At 35.4% G+C, this 21732-nt stretch overlaps 1 protein-coding gene across 26 annotated transcripts in view; it reads left to right on the forward strand.

Moving 5' to 3' along the window:
• Positions 1–16287, forward strand: part of FOXN2 (forkhead box N2) — a 65637-nt gene extending 49350 nt beyond the window's left edge. For 23 of the 26 annotated variants that reach the window (NR_164691.1, XM_047444107.1, XM_047444106.1 and 20 more), the window contains 2 exons: positions 10284–10352; positions 11912–16287. Coding sequence is in view for 24 of the 26 variants with exons in the window: in XM_047444107.1 (XP_047300063.1) it covers positions 10284–10352; positions 11912–12435 (593 nt within the window). In the remaining 2 variants the exon portion in view is untranslated. Of the gene's footprint in view, positions 1–939; positions 4613–10283; positions 10353–11911 lie in introns of those variants that run through there. The other 3 variants (XM_047444112.1, XM_047444113.1, NR_164686.1) reach the window with 2 other exon arrangements.
• Positions 16288–21732: the final 5445 nt, after the last annotated feature.

Raw genomic sequence — 21732 nt, forward strand, 5'->3', positions numbered from 1 at the left:
TTTTTACTGTTATTTTTGAGTATACTCCTTCCACCAATTAAAAAAAGTTAACTGTAAAAGAGCCTCACACAGGTCCTTTAGGAGGTATTCTAGAAGGCATTGTTACAGTAAGATGACAGCTCTCTGTGTTTATTGTCCCTAAAGACCTTCCAGTGGGACAAAAATGTAGAGGCAGAAGACAGTGATATTGATCTTGACCCTGTGTATGCTCAGGTTAATGTGTGTATTTGTATCTTTGTTTTTAACTAAAAAGTTTAAAAAAAGTTAATTTAAAAATAGAAAAAAGCTTATAGGTTATAAATAAAATATTTTTATACAGCTGTATTATGTATTTTATGCTGTTATTACAAAAGAGTAAAAATTTAAAAAATTAAAAAGTTTATAAAGTAAAAGTTTACAGTAAACTAAGGTTAATGTATTATTGAAGAAAGAAAAAATTAAAAAATCAATTTAGTGCAGCCTAAGTGTACACTGTTTATAAAGTCTACAGTAGTGTACAGTAATATCCTAGGCCTCTACATTCACTCACCACTAACACTCTCTGGCTCACCCAGAGCAATTCCGGTCCTTCAAGCTTCATTCATGGTAAGTACCCTATACAGGTGTACCATTTTAAATATTTGTATAGTGTTTTTATTGTACCCCCTTTTTTGTTCCCTGGCAGAAACTAATAGATCATTTACTGTACCTTTTCTGTGTTTAGATACACAAATACCATTTGTGATACAATTACCTATAGTATTCAGTACAGTAACATGGTGTACAGATTTGTAGCTCAGGAGCAATCCTAGGTGTGTAGTAGGCTATACCATTTAGGTTTAAGCACACTCTATGATGTTCACACAGTGACAAAATCACCTAACAGTACATTTCTCAGAACATATTCCCGTCATTAAACAAAGTATGACTGCATTTTTATTTATTTGTTTTATTTTTAAGAGATGGCGTCTTGCCATGTTGCCCACACTGATCTTCTGAATGCCTGGGCTCAAGTGATCTCCTACCTCAGCTTCCCAAATAGGTGGGACTACAGGTGCACATGACTGTATTTTAATTCATAAAAAATTCAGATAAAAATTTGGGATATTTTGTTGTTGCTGTTTAACATTTTTCTATTTTAACAAGTATTATGTATTTATTATAGGAAATTTGGGCAATAAAAACATTTATTAAAGAGAAAGTAAAGTCATTTATCCCATTGTTAATATTTTATTTTTATTTATTTATTTATTTATTTGAGACAGGTTCTCACTCTGTCACCCAGGCCAGAGGGCAATGGCACAGTCATGACTCACCATAGCCTCACAATCCTGGGCTTAAGCCATCTTCCCACCTTAGCCTCCCAAGTAGCTAGGACTACAGGTGCCATTACACCTGGCTAATTTTGTTGTTAACATTTTGATATAATTCCTTTGGGGTTTTTTTAATGCCACATATGTGAATAGATACACTTGCATGCGTGTATGTACAGGGACACATACATAAACACACACATACTTTTTCTCCAGATACTAGATTCACACTGTGTATACAGTTTTATATCCCTTTTCCATTTATTTTTATGGGTATTTTTCATTGAAAATAGGATTGAATTTTTTAGTAATATCAGTAGAGTTATTACCTTTTCAGGTCTATCTTAGACTAGAAAAGGGGTTGGCAAACTATGGCCCATGGCCATTTCTGGCCTGACATCTGTTTTTGGGTGTCCCATGAGCTAAGGATGGTTTTACATTTGTAAAATGGTTGGAGAAAACAAAATCAAATAACAATAAAATTTCAAGACTGTGAAAATTCATTGCAACAGAGACCTACATATTATATCCTGGGTTTTGCCTCTTAGCATGCAAAGCCTAAAATATTTACCTTCTGACCCTTTACTGAAGAAGTTTGTCATCCCTCAAATTAGAATATGCTTGAAGATATTTCTCCTGTAGGTTATTTAATCTGAAGAACTTTAATTTTAAAAGATAATAAGTTGACTTTTTAAAAGTATATCAAAATTCTGAATTAGTGGGTTTTTTTCTTGTAGATTAGTAGTATATTAAAATCAGTTTTCCTAGCGTTGCTTTGGAGCCTGGAGACATTTTCATAACCTTTAAAAATAGAAAATTTCAGATGAAAACCTTTCTGTGTATCAGAAATATTTTGGCTCTTTGGAACTATACTAAACTGAGCCTCAGAAGCAGTGTGCTGATATCTTTAAAAATAAAGGAGGAAAAGAATATGAAAAAGTTCTAGAGAACCCTGCAAAGAAGTTAAATGGATAGGGGATCTGTTTCAAATAATGTTCTGCCTTAACATAAGACAAATATCCGTGTTCCTGTTACCTACATCAGTCAAATGTGGTTTCTCTTTACATTTAGGTATTGCCAAAATGCCTTTATCTTTGTATTGCCTCAATAAAGTCTGACACTTATTCTCTAAAGCTCAGTTCGTATACATATCTTGAGAACATTTTCTTTGTGAATTCTGGAGTTTACTTAAATCTTTTCTTGCTCTTGTTCTGTTCTATCCAAATTCTTTCTTTCTTTGGGGAACAGACATTTCCACAAGTTTTTGCTGCTAGTTTCACCTGCATGTTTTTCATTTACTAGGGCACAGGTACTTCTTCTTCATCTAATGACTTGTACGTATTATGCATCATCTGTCTAGTGCTACCAGCACCTTACCTCCATTCCTATATGCATGAGTCTTAGGCCTGTTCCTCTAGTAATAATTAACTTAGTGGGGAGGTCGTTGGCATTCTAGGTTAAAACAAATGCACATCTGTCCTGGAATATAATACAAAATTCTCCATGAATTTTAAGGGAAGAAAACATAAAACCTCACAAAAATTTAGGGAATTTTATTTTTGAACTTGGTTGTTTTGGGGTATATTTCTGAGGAAATTTTCTCTTGCCTCTTTATATTATTTCTAGAGAGAAGTTTAAAAAACACCAAGTGGATTAGACATTCATTACAACTAATACTGTTGAGCCAGACTCCTTGTGCCAGACACTGTTGGAGGTTCCTTGGGATATGCATAGATGAGAGACCCAGGCCCTGCTCTTAGAAAATATATACTTTGGCTGGGCACAGTGGCTCACGCCTATAATCCCAGCACTTTGGGAGGCCGAGGTAGGTGGATCACATGAGATCAAGAGTTCAAGACCAGCCTGGCCAACATGGTGAAACCCCATCTCTACTAAAAATACAAAAATTAGCTGGGTGTGTGTTGGCACACGCCTGTAATTCCAGCTACTCAGGAGGCTGAGGCAGGAGAATCACTTGAACTTGGGAGGTGGAGATTGCAGTGAGCCGAGATCGCGCCACTGCACTCCAGCCTAGGTGACAGAGTGAGACTCCAAAAAAAAAAAAAAAAAATGATGGAGAACACCTGATTATCAACGATTTGTCCAAGGTACAACCTCAAACTTTGTGGAACAAAAGTTCTCCCTGGCAGAGAGAATCATAACAATAGAGAGAGTTGTCTGGCAGTTGCTAGGAATCTGTCTGGCATGTTGATATAGACCAGGTAGATGTGGTCATTTGCGTGGGCAAGGCAAATGTAGCAGAAGTTTAAGAGCTTATTTAGCATAATAAGGACTTTGAACATCCTCCTCTGCCTAGAACAATTAATAAGCCTTAAGTTGCTTACTTGATGCTTTGCATGCATTATCTAATTTAATCCTTAAAACAACCCTCTGAGGTATTGCTGCCCCTCTTTTACAGATAAGCAAACTGAAGTTTGGGGAGATTAAGTAACTTCTCAAGGTCACACAACTAGTAAGTGGCAAAGAAGGATTCAGATTGAATAATTCTAATTTCAAAGCCTGACTCCTACTAGATAAGTGGCACTGGGAGACCTGCTGAAGAACTTTAAATAGTGAAGTGACATCGTCAGTTTTATGTTTTATAAAGATCACTTAGGTATTATCATTGGCCTCCAATATTAAAACTTACATATTCATCTAACACTTCATAGAATCATCTTTACTGATCATTATATTAGAGCTACCTTTAGACACGGAAAACTAAAGGGAGAGATTAGGCTTAGAACTCCAGAAACTGTTATCAGCCTAAACAGGTGCAGCAGTGTGTTTGTTGTCTCTTGATCAACTTACAATGACTTTTATGTGACAGTATCAATGTTATGGCATTGTATAATAGATAGCAGGAGACACAGGATTCTTACACTGAGATAGCAGAACGAAATTTTTTTTGGTCAATAGTTTGGTTTGGTGTGTATTTAGAGTAAATTCACCTGTTTAAAAATATTACTGAGCTGTTCTAGACACCAAGGTACATCAGTGAAAAAAGCAGACAAAAATGGAACTCACATTCCAGTTAGTAAATTTTAGTAGTTATACTAACTGCTAAAAGCACCTGGTATACTACAAACAGATATAAAATTAAGGTAGTTGATGGTGATGTTAGGGCTACATGTAAAGCTAAGATTTGTGTCTTACTGAAATGAAACTAAACCAGTGGTCCAGACAGCTTAAAGTGTTGGTAATTTATTGAAACTATTCTTCTACTTCAGAGAATTACAAGAGACAGCTTCTCCATCTGGATGCTCTGCAAATGTATATATTAGTTTTGATAGAGACAATAAATCCTTTTGTAATTACTACAAAGCTTATACCATTTGAATTATTTCTATAGTTCTCATATCATTCCTTACACAAATGGACTGAGAGTCAAACAACAGAAATATGCTCGACTTATAACCTTACTCTCATATGGCTAAAACTAGTGTCTGAATTGTTTTTAATTATTTTTAATCATTTCCCAACATCAAGGTTAAGGAAATAAAAACCAACAGGCACAAATTAACAAGTTTTTTAAATTGTTGTTTATTTTTTGTTTTTTGAAATGGTGTCTCGCTCTGTCAACCAGGCTGGAAGTGCAGTGGCACGATCTTCGCTCACTGTAACCTCCACCTCCTGGGTTCAAGTGATTCTCCTGCCTCAGCCTCCCAAGTAGCTGGGATTGCAGACGCGTATGACCTCACCCGGCTAATTTTTGTATTTTTAGTAGAGACGGGTTTCACCATATTGGCCAGGCTGGTCTCGAGCTCCTGACCTCAAGTGATCCACCCACCTCGGCCTCCCAAAGTGCTGGGATTACAGGTGTGAGCCACCACGCTTAGCCAAATTCATGGTGTTGACACGGTTTTGTTTGAACCAGTTATGAAATCAGTAGCATGTTTGAAACTATCAAATTTTGGTTCCTTTTGAACTGGATATGTTAGATAATACAGCTAATAGTGTTATTGTTTTTAAAAACAGAGCCACCTTTAAAATAGAATAAAGTACTTTATCAATGAAAAAATACCATTATGAAGTATTTTCAAATGTGACAATAAACAAATGAGTCTTCAGTTTAAATTTCATAGCAAAATTGGCTGAACGCGGTGGTTCATGCTCGTAATCCCAGCACTTTGGGAGGCCGAGATGGATCCCTCAGGAGTTCAAGACCAGCCTGGGCAACATGGTGAAACCCCATCTCTAGGGCAACATGGTGAAACCCCATCTCTACCAAAAATATGAAAATTAGCCGGGCGTGGTGGTACACACCTGTGGTTCCAGCTACACGAGAGGCTGAGGTGGGCAGATCACTTGAACCTGGGAGGTGAAGGTTGCAGTGAGCCATGATTGCACCATTGCACTCCAGCTTGGACAACGGAGTGAGACCCTGTTGATAAATAACGAACGAATCAACGAAAATAGATTGGGTACTATAATTAAAAATTGTAATTTCTACCCAGAGAATTTTTATTGCTTTTGTTCCACAAAGTTCAAGACTGTACCTTGGACAAATCATTGATAATCAGGTGTTCTCTATTATGATGGTGATTTGGATCATTCATTGCTTATTTTTAATGTTGAAGTTAAACTTTTTTTCACAGTTAATTGGCAAGGCATTGCAGGAAGCACACTTATAAATGTTTTAAACAAATAAGATACAGGCAAAATCCTTTTGCAAAGAAGTGTTTGGTTTCACAAAGTTAATTTCATGTTGGAGATTTCAAATTAATTTGGCTATAAGTTATCTACCATAAATAAATCTATTTAAGGTGTATTTTTCCTACCATTCTACTGTTATAGAAACAGTACTTAATTTGTTAACACTTTACAATATTCAGAAATGGTATTCATGTAGCTTTCTTATGTTATCAGGATAAGCCTCTTACCAGTTTTAGGTGTTGTGTTTCAAAATAATGTTCCTTGAATCATAATGGATGTTTGTTAAAAGAAGTGAAGTTAGGCCAGGCGGGGGTCTCACGCCTGTAATCCCAGCACTTTGGGAGGCCAAGGCGGGTGGATCATCTGAGGTCAGGAGTTCAAGACCAGCCTGACCAACATGATGAAACCCCATCTCTACTAAAAATACAAAAATTAGCTGACTGTGGTTGCGAGTGCCTGTAATCCCAGCTACTCAGGAGGCTGAGGCAGTAGAATCACTTGAACCCAGGAGGCAGAGGTGGCAGTAAGCTGAGATGGTGCCATTGCACTCCAGCCTGGACGACAAGAGTGAAACTCCATCTCAAAAAAAAGAAGTCAAGTTAGAGATATACTAATTTTTTAGTAAGTATATTTTATAGGTGCTTCATTTATAAGATAAAGTTTCTGTAATTGGTTTCTCATTATAATGCATTTTCTTGTTAGATTATTTTACCGTCACCTTCCTCTTTTATAAAATTAGAAACAAGGTAGATCCTTTTTATTAAAAAGAAAATTTAGGCTGGGCACGGTGGCTCACACCTGTAATCCCAGCACTTTGGGAGCCTGAGGCGGGAGGATCACTTGAGCTCAGGCAACACGGTAAAACCATATCTCTACAAAAAATAAAAATAAAAATGAGCCAGGTGCGGTGGTACATGCCTGTGGTCCCAGCTACTTGGGAAGCTAAGGTTGAAGGATCGTTTGAGCCTGGGAGGTTGAGGCTACAGTGAGCCATAATTGTGTCACTACACTCCAGCCTGAGTGACAGAGGGAGACCTTGTATCTCAAAAAAAGAAAAGAAAAAAAAAAAGAAAAATTAGTTTATGGAGAAGTAATCTCTCTGTTGGGGCTTTTGCATAATGCCATGCAAGTTGTGCCCTCTGCAAGTCCACCTGGCTTAAGGCAGTGAGTGGGGCCTGAAATTCAGCCCACATTCCATTCGTCTAGCTGTGTGCCTTGAATAGGGAACCATTCACCTGGAGGAAGATTTGCCTTTTTTCCAACTCACACAGAGACACAATATGGGCTAGCGGCTGCAACTTTTCTTCTTCAGACGTGTTAGAATACTGAACTCAAAAAGAATTGCCTCAGGCTTCATCCTAAAAGACAGGAATTGGAGAGGTCATTGTTTTTGCTAGCCTCTTGGATGTGGCATGTGGGCATCATTGATTCAAATCCTTTGTACTTGCTCTTCTTTCTGCCCAGTACTCTTTTCCCTCAGATATCATTCTTTCTCTCCCTGAGGTCTTTGCCCAACTGTAGCCTACCTTCTCCTTCAGGATTTCTCTGACCTCTATATTTAAAATTGTAACCACTTTCCCCAACACTCTATTTCCCTTTCCTCTTAATTTTTTTAAATTTCTTGACCATTTGTATGTCTTCTTTTGAGCAATGTCTGTTCTGATCATTTGCCCATTTTTAAATTAGAGGATTTTGGTTTGTTTGTTTTCCTGTTGAGATGCTTGAGTTCCTTTTATATTGTAGATGTTAATCCCCTGTCAGATGAGTAGTTTGCATATATTTTATTCATTCTGTAGGTTGTCATTTCACTGTTGTTTCTTTCCTGTGCAGAAGCTTTTTAGTTTGATATAATTACGTTTATTTTTGCTTTTGTTACCTATGTTTTTGAGGTCTCATTCATAAAATCTTTTCCCAGACCAATGTCCTGAAGTGTTTCATCTTTGTTTTCTCCTGGTAGTTTTATCGTTTCAGTTCTTACATTTAGGTCTTTGATCCATTTTGAGCTGATTTTTGTATAGGGTGACAAGTGGGAGTCTCGTTTCATTCTTCTGCCTGTAGATATATATCCAATTTCTTTTGTATCATTTATTGAAGAAACTGTCTTTCCCCCAGTTAGTATTCTTGGCACCTTTGTCAAAAATCAGTCCACTGGCGGAGGGGGTGGGGCGCGGTGGCTCATGCCTATAATCCCAGGACTTTGGGAGGCCGAGGCAGGCAGATCACTTGAGGCCAGGAGTTTGAGACCAGCCTGGCCAACATGGTGAAATTCCATCTCTACTAAAAACACAAAAATTAGCTGAGTGTGGTGGCACGCCTCTGTAATCCTAGCTGTTCAGGAGACTGAGCACAAGAATCGCTTGAACCTGGGAGATGGAGGTTGCAGTGACCCGAGAACACTCCTCTGCCTTCCAGCCTGGGTGGCAGGGCAAGACTGTCTCCAAAAAAAAAAATAGTTGGCTGTAAATATGTCAATTAATGTCCAGGTTCTCTATTCTGTTCCATTGGTCTATGTGTCTTATTTTTATGCCAGTACCTTGCTTTTTTGGTTACTACAGCTTTGTAGTATATTTTGAGGTCTGTTTGTATTTTGCCTCCAGTTTTGTTCTTTTTGCTCAAGATTCTTTTGCCTATTTGGGGTCTTTTGTAGTTCCATACAACTTTCAGGATTATTTTATATTTCCGTGAAGGATATCATTGGTATTTTGATAGAATTTATAGATTGCTTTGGAGGTAGTATTGTCATTTTAACAATACTAATTTTTCCTATCCATGAGTATGGGATGTCTGTTTGTATTGTCTTCAATTTTTTTGTAGGTATTTTAATTTTATTTTTTGTAGCTATTGTGAATGAGATTGCCATCTTGATTTCTTTTTCAGCTAGTTTGTTGTTTTGTGTGTAGAGATATTACTGACTTTTGTGTATTAATTTTGTATCTTGCAACTTTACTGACTATCAGTTCTAAGAGTTTTTTGGTAGAATCTTTAGTTTTTTCTATATATAAGATCATGTTGTCTGCAAACAGGGACGTTTGACTTCCTCTCTTCCAACATAGATGCCTTTTATTTCTTTCTCTTACCTAATTGCTCTGGCTAGGGCTTCCAGTACTATGTTGACTAAGAGTGGTGCAAGTGAGCATCCTTTTCTTGTTTCAGTTCTTAGGGGAAACGCTTTCAGCTTTTCCCCATTCAGTAAGATATTAGCTGTGGATCATGAGGTCACATTTTACTTGGGGAAAAAGAGGTAAAGTATTATGTGCTGTTTCATAGTGGCCAGCATCTGATTTACTTAAGCCTGTTAGTGTTATCAATAACAACAGCATTTCCTACCTTAAGAGAGTTTATGGTCTAGTTGGAGAGAAAACAAGTCATTATCTTCATGGCTTTATTATCTACAATAACTTTTAAATTAGACATTGAAAGTAAATAGGAAATCTTTATGGTAATAAAAATTTCCACCTTTGAGATATAGATTAGAAATTTCATATCTGAGTCTTATTTTAAATGTCTTTTTGTAAGCTAAAATTTATAAACATTTTCTAACTTTTCTAATTATTAATGGTGTAATTTAGATTATACCATTTTACTTTTCTTTAGTTATTCAGACTAGTATATCACCAAGATGAAGAACTTACAGCAGTAAATATAAGTAGGTATGAGAGCATAACTTTATCTGTTGTAGAACCTGCTGATTTTGCCAGTCTTTTAAAGCCCATTTTTAATGGAGTATCCATTTGACTTCATGAATATTATATAAATTTGTCGTACATGTAGGCTTGTGTATAATCATGACTAAAAACAATAATAATTATTTTTGTTTCTGCATAATTATTCACTTAGCATTTATAGGTTTACATGACCTAGACTGACGAATTACATATTTTTATCTCCTGTAACTGGCATGTAATTAACATAGTACTTCATAACTGCAGATATGCATAGGTAATGATAGTATTCAAGTAAAAATGCAAAAAAAAAAAAAAGGAGTAACGATGTACATTCTTAGCTAATTTAATCTGTTTAAGGGGAAACCTTACTGAAATACAGTTTAAGTTTTCGTTTTCATTGTGAATAATTAAAGAAGAGAACTTGCATTATTTCTGGTATCTCTCCATCTCTTTTACACTGTATTGTTCACAAAACTGTTTCGTGATTTTAAGTGAACAAAATCAGACTTCAGAATAATATATAATATCTCATTTTTGTTTGATGTGCGTTTATGCTTTCTTAGAATATACACCAAAATTGTAACGCTGGTTATCTTCAGGGGCATGCAAATACTTAGAATAGCCTCTCCTTTATAAAGAACATTAATATTATTACTTTTTCCCTTTTCAGAATCTGATATTGATGCTGCTGCTGCAATGATGCTTTTAAATACTTCTATAGAACAAGGAATTTTAGAATGTAAGTAATCATGCCTTTTTTAAAAAAAAATTTTAGTGCCTTTTCAAATTTAACCTAGACTATAAAATAACTATTACAGACAAAAATTACTTCTTTCCAACCAAATTGTATTTTGATCTGAGTAACTCAGTTTCTGTTTTATTATACTTTCATTAATTTATGTGAGCAATTGAGAGATTGAAGTTAATGCTTCGATTTTTCTTACATTGACCAAGAAATGAAGAAAAATATATTTAGAAAATGAACTCAAAGAGCTAAAAGTAAAAATGAAAACTATAAACAAGAAAATATAATAAGTAAAGTATATTTATGAACTTGGACTAGGAAAAGCTTTCTTTAAGATACAAAATGCAAAATCCATGAAGGAAAAAAATGGGTAAATTTAATAAAACATCAAAATTTTAGCATTCTGGTCAGGCATGGTGGCTCACGTCTGTAATCCTAGCACTTTTGGGAGAACAAGGCAGGTGGATCACTTGAGACCAGGAGTTCCAGATCAGCCTGGGCAACATGGCAAAACTCCATCTCTACAAGAAATACAAAAATTAGCCAGATGTGGTGGTGCATGCCTGTAGTCCCAGCTACTCAGGAGGCTGAGGTGGGAGAATTGCTTGAACCTGGGAGGTGGGGGTTGCAGTGAGCCATGAGCACTGCAGTGAGCTGGAGAGCACTGCACTCCAGTCTGAGGGACAGAGTGAGACTCTGTCTCCAAAAAAAAAAAAGCATTCTGACAACAAAATATATCTAAGAAAAGTGACATAAAATGCTGGAGACATGTTTTTTCCATATATAACAAAGGATTAGTATCAAGTATATACATAAAAAGGATTCTGCAAGTAAGAAATAAGAAAACAGTTCAACCGGAAAGTCAGCAAAATATATGACTAGGTGGATCTTAGAAGAGGAAATATATGTGGGCAATACACATGTGAAAAGATGTGTAACTTCGCTAGAAATTCGGGAAACACAAAATGAAATAATATTGAGGTAACTTTTTTGTCCATAAAATTATAAAAAATTTAAGTAATTGAGAATGGTGTTAAGTAGGGAGTAAGTTTTGTCATACACTGTTGGGAGTAAATTGGTACAACCACTTTGGAGGGCAATTTGAGAATACCAATTATAATTTTAAATGTATATATCCCTTAGCAATTTTTTCATATCTCTTTTTAAAAATTACTTGCATATATTCAAGAAAAGGCATCCAGAAGGATTTGTATTGCAGCATGATTTATACTAATGAAAAATTGGAAACAGCCTAAATATTAACACGGAAGTGATTAGCTAAACAGTGGTACATTCATATTGAGGCATTCCTTGTAAGCAATTCAAAATAGTTACATATGCTATAGAAAAGTCAAGACATTGTTAAATGGTTTTTAAATGTTTCAAATTAATGCTTGCAAAATGATGTGATCTGGGTAAAAAAAAATAAAAAATCTACAAAGCATCATGAATCTAAAACATTTGTTGCTCAAGAGTAATGTAGTAGTTTAAAATTGGTCTGTTTTTGCAACCAAACACATTTGACCTATTGATGGAACTTTTATTTTCCACAGGTGAGAAGCCTCTTCCTCTTAAAACAGCATTGCAAAAAAAGAGGAGTTACGGCAATGCATTTCATCATCCCAGTGCTGTACGATTACAAGAGAGTGATTCTTTAGCCACCAGCATTGATCCAAAAGAAGATCACAATTACAGTGCAAGTAGCATGGCAGCACAGCGTTGTGCATCCAGGTCTAGCGTGTCTTCCCTGTCTTCTGTGGATGAGGTATATGAATTTATCCCAAAGAATAGTCACGTGGGAAGTGATGGCAGTGAAGGATTTCACAGTGAAGAAGATACAGACGTTGATTATGAAGATGATCCTCTTGGAGACAGTGGCTATGCATCACAGCCTTGTGCAAAAATCTCTGAAAAAGGGCAGTCAGGCAAAAAGATGCGAAAACAGACATGTCAAGAAATTGATGAGGAGCTCAAAGAGGCAGCTGGATCTCTGCTCCACCTTGCTGGAATTCGTACATGTTTAGGTTCCCTAATAAGTACTGCAAAGACACAAAATCAAAAGCAACGGAAAAAATAGAAATACTTAAAGTGTGGCAATACTCTTTCACTTAATTCTTTACAAGGGATATCAAAGCCATAATGGACTTCATTAGTTTTAGGGTAGGGAAGGGATACTAATTACTTATTTCTTTCAAAACATTTTTGGTTTTTGGTTTTTAAAATTTTTATTAAACAATTGCTGTTAGGATCATGCCTGATCAGAAATACATGATGTGAAGTCCTAAAAGCATAATTTTTGTGATAAATGTGTCCAAGATTTGAAAATTTTTATATAAGAAAATCCCCAGCCTCTGTCTTAAACTTGTGGGACAAAAATCCTTTCTTCTGTTAATATGTCAGAATGTAAGATTTGGCAACTCGATAAATTTTTTTCATTTTCTTTTCCAATCTGTAACTATAGTTACTGAACCAGCTAAAAATTTTGCTGATGTATTTTTCATATACTTCTCTCCTGACACGCAATCCGGTAACATAAGATTGAAATTTTTTTACTTTGTCTTAATTTGTTTCTAATTTTTTTTTTGTTGTCGTGTGAGCAAAGACAAACATAAATTGAAAAACATCCTGATGTTTAGAAAGTTTCTTTTGGTTACGTAGGTAGAGAATACAACAAAGAGTTCTAAGACTTAGAAAAGACAATTTTGTGGTGTCATTTCATCCAAGAACACTCCCAATTCCTATTAGAATGGTAGCTTTGAAGTGTTTTTACTTCAGAGATCCTGCATAGCATTTATTGGGGCCTTTTATTCTTTCCCAAAGTGCTTTGCAAACATTAAGTTTTAGCCACTAGCTGCCTTTGTTGAGTATAAGTTATCCAGTGAGAGGATATAGCCAATTAAGTGTGTTATGGAGTACACCCATTTTGACACACTTGTAATAAGAGAATCTTTCATTTGCCTGCCATGTGTACTGTATTATGAGAATCTTATAATCGGAATGGAGTGAAATGAAACATTTTGAGTACTGATGGCATGTTATCATACATAAAGTAGGTCATTTAGGAAAAAACTTCTGTCCAAGCTTTGTATGAATTAAATTCATAAGTATACCAAATTAAATCTTAATAGATTTAATGCAATTTTACAGACACAATACCTTCATGAATTTCAAAATTCATATAAAATTTGATCTTATGCAATACACCTTTTTGAGGAGGCAGTGTAACAACCTATAGTGCCATTGATCCATGAGAAAAAGATTTTCTGGTACTACTCCAAAAGTGCTTTGACTAAGTATCTTAACTATTTGAACAGTCTGCTTATATGAGACAGTTTTTCATAGTATCATTTGTATAATTTGATTAGATTATTCAGAAACAATAGGATGCTAAACTAATTCATTGTATCTTTTTTTTACAATGGTGGAAGCAACTTTCTGAAAGTTCAGTCTTATGCTACATCCTAAGTCATAGACAATGACCTTGTTTTCATTATTCTGATAGATTGTATACATATGTACACATACATATACACATATGCACAGTCAAGGTCATGATGTTGATTTGCTTTCAGCTGTTTCTGTGATTATAAAGCATTTTTTAAGAGACAAATTTTAACTTTTAATTTTTATTTTGGCAAAACTGTCAAATGAGAAAAATGATTTTAAAAACTTTTTTTTCAATTGACAAGACTTTAAGTCAGGGATAACAGTATTAATGTTCTCTGTTCTGTTTCCATGTTAAATTTAATTTAACCTGGATAGCCACATTAATGAATTGGTGCTGTCAAAATATAGTAATTTTTAAATTTGTTAATAATGAAAACCCTTAAGCATGCAGGATGAGGTATTTGGGTTTTTTTTTTAGATCGATCACATCTACAGAAAATGGCTAAACCAAGTTAACTTTTATTATAGACAGTGAATAAAACACCAAAAACCCAAAAATGCTTTAACCACAGTATAAATAATAGATTATACACATCATCTTAATAACTATTTTTAAGTTATTTACCATAGCCTCTGTATAGACCTTAGGAACAGTGTTTCAGTGATCTGGCACCAGTTTATTTTGTTCTGCTGAAATTCTGTATCACAAATGTGCTACCTGGTTTTTGTCCATTAGATAATTACTCTTTATAAGGAAAGGAAAGAGAAGCAGAGTTAGTTCCAGCTCTAATAGGGATCTTCAAAGTTATTTTGTCTTGATGTATGTAACAGTAATTCTTTACATCTTTTGATTTTTCTCTTCCTTTTTATTCACTCTTCCCACGAATTTAAATGTTTAAGTTATATTCATCACTAGCAAGGATGATAAACACTTGTGCACTGAAAGCTAACAGGGAGAGGTTACACAATATTTTACAGTTTCTTAAACATAATTTAATGCATCACCTTCCACTTGCTAACATACCAAGTCAGTTATTTTCAAGGGAAGAACCTTTTAAATTATGGTCCTCCATTTACTACTTCCACTGAGAGTATGCTCTCATTCCTCAGGTGTTTTGAGAAACATGACTAATAACCACACAATTAAGTAGAGTCATTCCAAGTCCTATGGCCTGGAAATTGTATTCCCTATAATATACAAATTTTCCTGTAATAAAGTCAACTTAGAAACTCCAAGGAGGTTACATGTTTTCCAACATATCCTAAAAACTGTGATATAAGCTAACATATAATTTGCCTTACGTCAAAAGAATATGTTTTGTTGCAGCTGATTCCAGTTTATAATAGATCCCTAGTAAAAAGCTTTGATTCAACACAATTGTTCATCTTCACATCCCAAACAGAATCACTGTTTCTTGAATATATATTTTTGAAGTTTTTTTGTGCAATATATTACTAAATCAGTTATTATTTTACTTTTCCAAATTCAGAGAAAGAAAACAGATTACCTGAATTCATGGAAAAGGTGGATCACCTCCCTTTTTCCACCTTCAAGCCTTTCCTGTCCTCATAGCCAGCATGACTTCTTTTAACTTGGATTCCTTTGTATATAGTAAAGTTTAGTATATATATATTTTTTTCTTTTTGCTACTTTCTGAGGCATTATGTAAAGGGCTCATACTAGATGTTCAGTTAAATATACTTTAGCACAAAGTCAAACTAGAGAATGTGTTAAGGAGGGAATGTATATGTCTTGGTAGACCAGGAGGCCTTTGCCAGCAATTTAAGCAACAGATGTGAATACTTCACAAAGCTGTAAAGACCATTGTCTTAAATACTACAACAACTTAACACCCTTTTGTGAAGATCACAGCATTTATCTAAGAAACTGTGAGGCTTTCTGGTTTACATATATCTTACAGGTGTTTTTTTGTATTTTTTTTTTTTTTTAGTTTGAAATGTGTAAGCTTTGATTTAAACCAAGTTTACTTCAGTATGTTAATGATGTAGTAAAAATATTTATTGAAAGGTGAATTCGAGTATTTTAATGTTATACCTGCCATTTTTTTTCTTAAAGCATATTCTTTGCATCTAACTGCCAGTGCCATTGTCAAAACTTATTTTTTAAATCGTTGTACATTTCTTATTAAACTAAGTGCTTAATTTTAAAGTATTATGTTGCCATCATATAGTGTATAAAAATGTATAATTGCCAATTGATTGTAACTATTATTTATTTTTAAATGAAAGTGTAAGAATGCTTTCTGATTCAACAAATTTGTTATCAAACTGTTTCCTTATCCTCTTTTCTGATGTAGCATAAAAATTGTCCCGGTTTGAGTTATAACTGCCAGTAGATGACCAGTCACAAGTGAACCACTTCTCAGTTGCCAATCTTTGCTCATATTAAAAACAACTTACAAATACTTAGTTTTTGTATCTAATCTCTGATTATTAAAATGTTTATAAAGTTTATTTTTACCAAAGAGATGCAATTCATTATGAGAAAGTATTGCATAATAAATTTTGTTTTATAACTTTTTTTGTGCTTTCTCTGATCTTTTGTAGGATAGGGTGGGACAGGAGAAGGATGGTAGGGCAGATGTGATGGCTATACTTCTACACACACTTTCCATTCAAATTGGAGTCAAGGAAATGAAAAATGCAGTTTAATTTCAATTTTTTTAAAAGTATTTTTTATGGTTTTTAGATGTTAATTACTGAAAGCTAAAATGACATTAATTAAATTACTATCTTCCTAAAGTTAAACTTCTTTTCCTATTAATTTACATGTATCTGAAATATTTTGAAATATAACTGGGAAAAATGGAGTAGAATATGAAACGAGCCTGGCCAACATAATGAAACCCCGTCTCTACTAAAAATACGAAAATTAGCCAGGTATAGTGGCGAACGCCTGTAATCCCATCTACCCAGGAGGCTGAGGGATGAGAAATGCTTGAACCCAGGAGGCGGAGGTTGCAGTGACCTGAGATCCCACCACTGCACTCCAGCCTACACAACGGAGTGAGACTGCATCTCAAAAAAAAAAAAAAAAAAAAAAAAAAAAAAAAAAGTCATCAAGAGCTTTATGCCAATAAGTTCAACAACTTCGGTGAATTAAAATGCAACAATAAGAAAACCCAATCTAAAAATGGGCTAAATACCTGAACGGACACCTCACCAGAAAAGATAAACAGATCACACTCATTGATATTTACCCAAATGAGTTGAAAACATGTCTAAACAAAAACCTGCACACAATTGTTACAGCAGCGTTGTTCATAATTGCCAAAACTTGGAAGCAAATAAGATGTCTGTCAGTAGGCAAATGTATAAACTGGTACATCCAGACAGCAGACTATTATACAGCAATTTTTTTTAAAAGCTATCGACATCCCAAAGAAGATATACAAATGGCCAAAAAGAACATGAAAATATCCTCGACATCACTAATTACTAGGGAAATGCAAATAAAAATCACAATGAGATACCACCTCGTATCCATTAGAATGGCTACTATTAAAAGGTTAAAAACGCCACCAAAACTAAGTGACGAGTGTTGGCAAGGATTGGAACACTTGTGCAGCCACTATGGAAAGCAGTATGGAATTCAAAATAGTGCAGTCACTGAAAAGCAGTATGGAAGTTCCTCAAGAAATTAAAAATAGACCAGCAGATTTACTTCTGGGCACATACCCAAAAGAATTGAAAGCAGGTTCTCAAAGAGGTGTTTGTCTACCCATGTTTAGAGCAGCATTATTCACAATAGCCAAAAGGTGGAAGGTTCACAAATGTTCATCGATAGATGAATGAATAAAATATGGCACATGCAGACAATGGATTATTATTTCACCTCAAAAGGGAAGGGAATTTTGACGCAAGCTACAACATGGATGAAACTTGAGGACGTTATTCTGAGTGAAATAAGCCAGTCAGAAAAAGAAGGATACTGTATGGTACTTACAGTAGTCAAACTGATAGAGACAGAAAGTAGAAAGATGTTTGCCAGGGGCTGGAAGAAGAGGGGAATGAGAAGTTGTTTAATGGGCATGGAATTTGTGTTTTGCAAAATGAAAGAGTTCTAGAGATTGTTTTCACAACAGTGTGAATGTACTTAACACTATTGAACTGTACACACAAAAATAGTAAATGTTATATATATTTTACCACAAATAAGAAAAACAAAAAAATGAGATATCAAGCTATGATGGAAATTTAAACACATATTACTAAGTGAAAGAAGCCAATCTTTGACTTAGTTGAAAGGTTCACTTACTGAGCCTTAGAAGGCTCATTTCTGTGATTCCAACTACGATCTTGTATCGCTTAGCAACAGGAATACCTTCTGAGAAAAGTATCAGGCTGTTTTCTTACTGTGGGAACATCATAGGGTGTACTTACACAAACTTAGATGGTATGGCCTACGACACAACTAGACTATATAGTAGATAGCCTATAGCTCAGGCTACAAATCTATGCAACATGTTACTGTCCCAAATACTGTAGACAGTGGTAATGCAATGGTATTTGTGTATCTTAACCATATCTAAACATAGAAAAGGTACAGTAAAAACACAGTATAAAAGATAAAAAATGCTACACCTGTATAGGGCACTTACCATGAATGGAGCTTGCAGGACTGGAAGTTGCTCTGGGTGAGTCAGTGAGTGTGAGTGGTGAGTGAATGTGAAGGCCTAGGACATTACTGTACACTACTGTAGACTTTTTAAACACTGTACTCTTAGGCTATACTAAATTCATTTTAAAATTTTTTCTTCAACAATAAACATTAGCTTACTGTAACTTTATAAACTTTAATTTTTTTTAACTTTTTGACTCTTTTGTAATAACACAGCTTAAAACACAAACACGTTGTACAGCTGTACCAAAATATTTATTCTTCATATCTTATAAGCTTTGTTCTATTCAAATTTTTCTTTTTACTTTTTAAACATTTTTCTTAAAAACTAAGACACAAACACACACATTATCCTAGGCCCACACAGGGTCAAGATCATCAGTATTACTGTCTTCCACCTCCACATCTTGTCCCACTGGAAGGTCTTCAGGGGCAAAAATATGTATGGCGCTATTATCTCCAATGATAGCAATGCCTTTTTCTGGAATATCTCCTGAAGGACCTGAGTTTGTTTTACAGTTAGCTTTTCTTTTTTTTAATAGGAGTATACTGTAAAATAATGGTAAAAAGTATAGTAAATATATAAACCAATAGCATAGTCATTTATTTTCAAGTATCCTGTACTGTACCTTATTGTATGTGCTATACTTTTATATGACTGGTAGTGCAGTAGGTTTGTTTATACCAGCATCACCATAAACACAATATATATAATATGATAATATGAGGGCTAAGGCATCACTAGGTGATAGGAATTTTTCATCTTCATTATGATCTTATGGGACTGCTGTTGTCTATGTGGTCTGTCCTGGCCTTTGACCGAAACATCATTATGCAGCTCATGGCTGTATATGACATTCTAGAAAAAACAAAACTGTGGAGACAGTAAAAAGATCAGTAGTTACCAGGGGTTGTGGGGGAGCATGGGCTTTTTAGGGCAGTAAAACTATGCTTCATGATACTGTAATGGTGTATATATATCATTATACATTTGTCAAAACCCACAGAAATTAAAACCAGACAGAGTGAAACCTAATGTAAACTACGGATTTTAGTTACTAGTGATGTATTAATATTGGCTCATCCATTGTAATAAGTGTACCACACTAATGCAAGACATTAATAATAGGAGAAACTGGGGCTGTGGTGGGGGCACAAAGGAGGGTATAAGAGACCTCTTGGTACTTTCCACCCAATTTTTCTGTAAACCTAAAACTCCTCTAAAAAAATAAAGTCTATTAATTAAAAAACAAAACCTAAAACAACTGGCACTTGAAAATACTTCCAATGGCCAAAGCTAGAACAATATGAGCACCAAAATAAAAATGTAGTCTTGGCCAGGTGCGGTGGCTCACACCTGTAATCCCAGCACTTTGGGAGGCCGAGGAGGGCAGATCACGAGGTCAGGAGTTCAAGACCATCCTGGCCAACATGGTGAAACCCCGTCTCTACTAAAAACACAAAAATTAGCTGGGCATGGTGGCGCGTGCCTGTAATCCCAGCTACTCAGGAGGCTGAGGCAGGAGAATTGCTTGAACTGGGGGTTGCAGTGAGCCGAGATCATGCCACTGCACTCCAGCCTGGGCTAAATTCCACCTTCCAGAGCGAGATTCCATCTCAAAAAAAAAAAAAACAAACAAAAAAAAACAATTGTAGTCTTATATCTTAATGTATAAAATATCTATGAGTCCATACTGATACAAATAAATGATTGAATATGTTAATACATGAGGGAAAAGAGACAAATCTCCCATGCAGAACAATTCCACATAAATTATGCAGCTACTCCACCCTAAAGGAGGAAGCATAACTTCCCATTTCTTAAATGTGGGTTTGCATAAGGGCTTCCTTCCAGAGTTTAGTGTGGAAGGGACAGTGATGCGGGTAGTACCTTCATGGTGGAGAAACCTGACAGACACTACTTCAGTCAGGCATGCTAGGTCAACATCAGCAATCATGACTGACGTTGATAGCACGTGTTCTTGATATTATATAGAAATGGACTTTCCCTCTGTGATCTGCCTCCCAAAACTCATAGCCTAATTTTTAAAAAGAAATCAGACAAATTCTAGTAGTTTGGCATCCTACAACAAGCCTGACCAGTATTCCTCAAAGCTGTCAAGATCACTGAAAACAATCAGAGTCTGAGAAACTTTCATAACCAAAAGGACCCTAAAGAGACACAGCAACTTAATGGGATGCATCCTGAATGGGGTCCTGGAATAGAAAAAATGGTATTAGTTTAAAAACTAAGAATACCTAAATAAAATATAAACTTGTGTTAATAATAATGTATCAATAGCAGTTCATTAATTGTAACAAATGTATCATACTAGTATAAGAGGTTAGCAGCAGGGAAAACTGTGCAGGGCAGAGGGTATATGGAAAGTATCTGTATTATTTGCTCAATTTTTTTAACTCTAAAATGACTCTTTAAAAAGTCCAGTAAAAAAAAAAAAAAACTGAAAGCAAACTCCAAGTTCACATGGCTTCACATGAATTACATTTATTATTTAAGGAAGAAATAATACCATTATACCCAAACTCCTTAAAAGCAATAAAAAAAAAGAAGACAAGAAAATATTTCATAACTTGCTTTATGAGGCTATAGGTTTAGCATTAACCTAATATTAAAACTGAGTAAAGACATTACCTGCTGGGTGCAGTGGCTCATGCCTGTGATCCCAGCACTTTGGGAGGTCGAGGTGGGTGGATTACTTGAGGTCAGGAGTTCAAGACTAGCCTGACAAATATGGCGAAACCCCGTCTCTACTAAAAATACAAATATTAGCCGGGAGTGGTGGCACGTGCCTGTAATCCTAGGTACTTGGGAGGCTGAGGCAGGAGAATCATTTGAACCTGGGAGGCAGAGGCTGCAGTGAGCCGAGATCACACCACTGCACTCTAGCCTGGGTGATAGAGTGAGACAGTCTCACAGGAAAAAAAAAAGACATTACCAAAAAACTACAGACCAATATTCGTCAAGAATATAGACACAAAAATTCTTAACAAAATATCATCAAATAAAATTCAGTAGTGTAAAAAAGAGACAATAACCAATGGGGCCGGCCCTAGGAGTGCAAGTTGGTTCAATACTAAAAATCATCATTATAATTCATCATATCAACAGAGGCAAGAAGAAGAATGTTGGGAACAGGCCCCCAAAACTGGCCATAAACAAAATCTCTGCAGCACTGTGACATGTTCGTGATGGCCATGACGCCCACACTGAAGGTTGTGGGTTTACTGGAATGAGGGCAAGGAACACCTGGCCCATCCAGGGCACAAAACCACTTAAAGGAGTTCCTGAACCGCAAAGAACAGAATGAGCGATCTGTGCCTTAA

This window comes from Homo sapiens, chromosome 2 (assembly GCF_000001405.40).
Source record: "Homo sapiens chromosome 2, GRCh38.p14 Primary Assembly".
Lineage (NCBI taxonomy): Eukaryota > Metazoa > Chordata > Mammalia > Primates > Hominidae > Homo > Homo sapiens.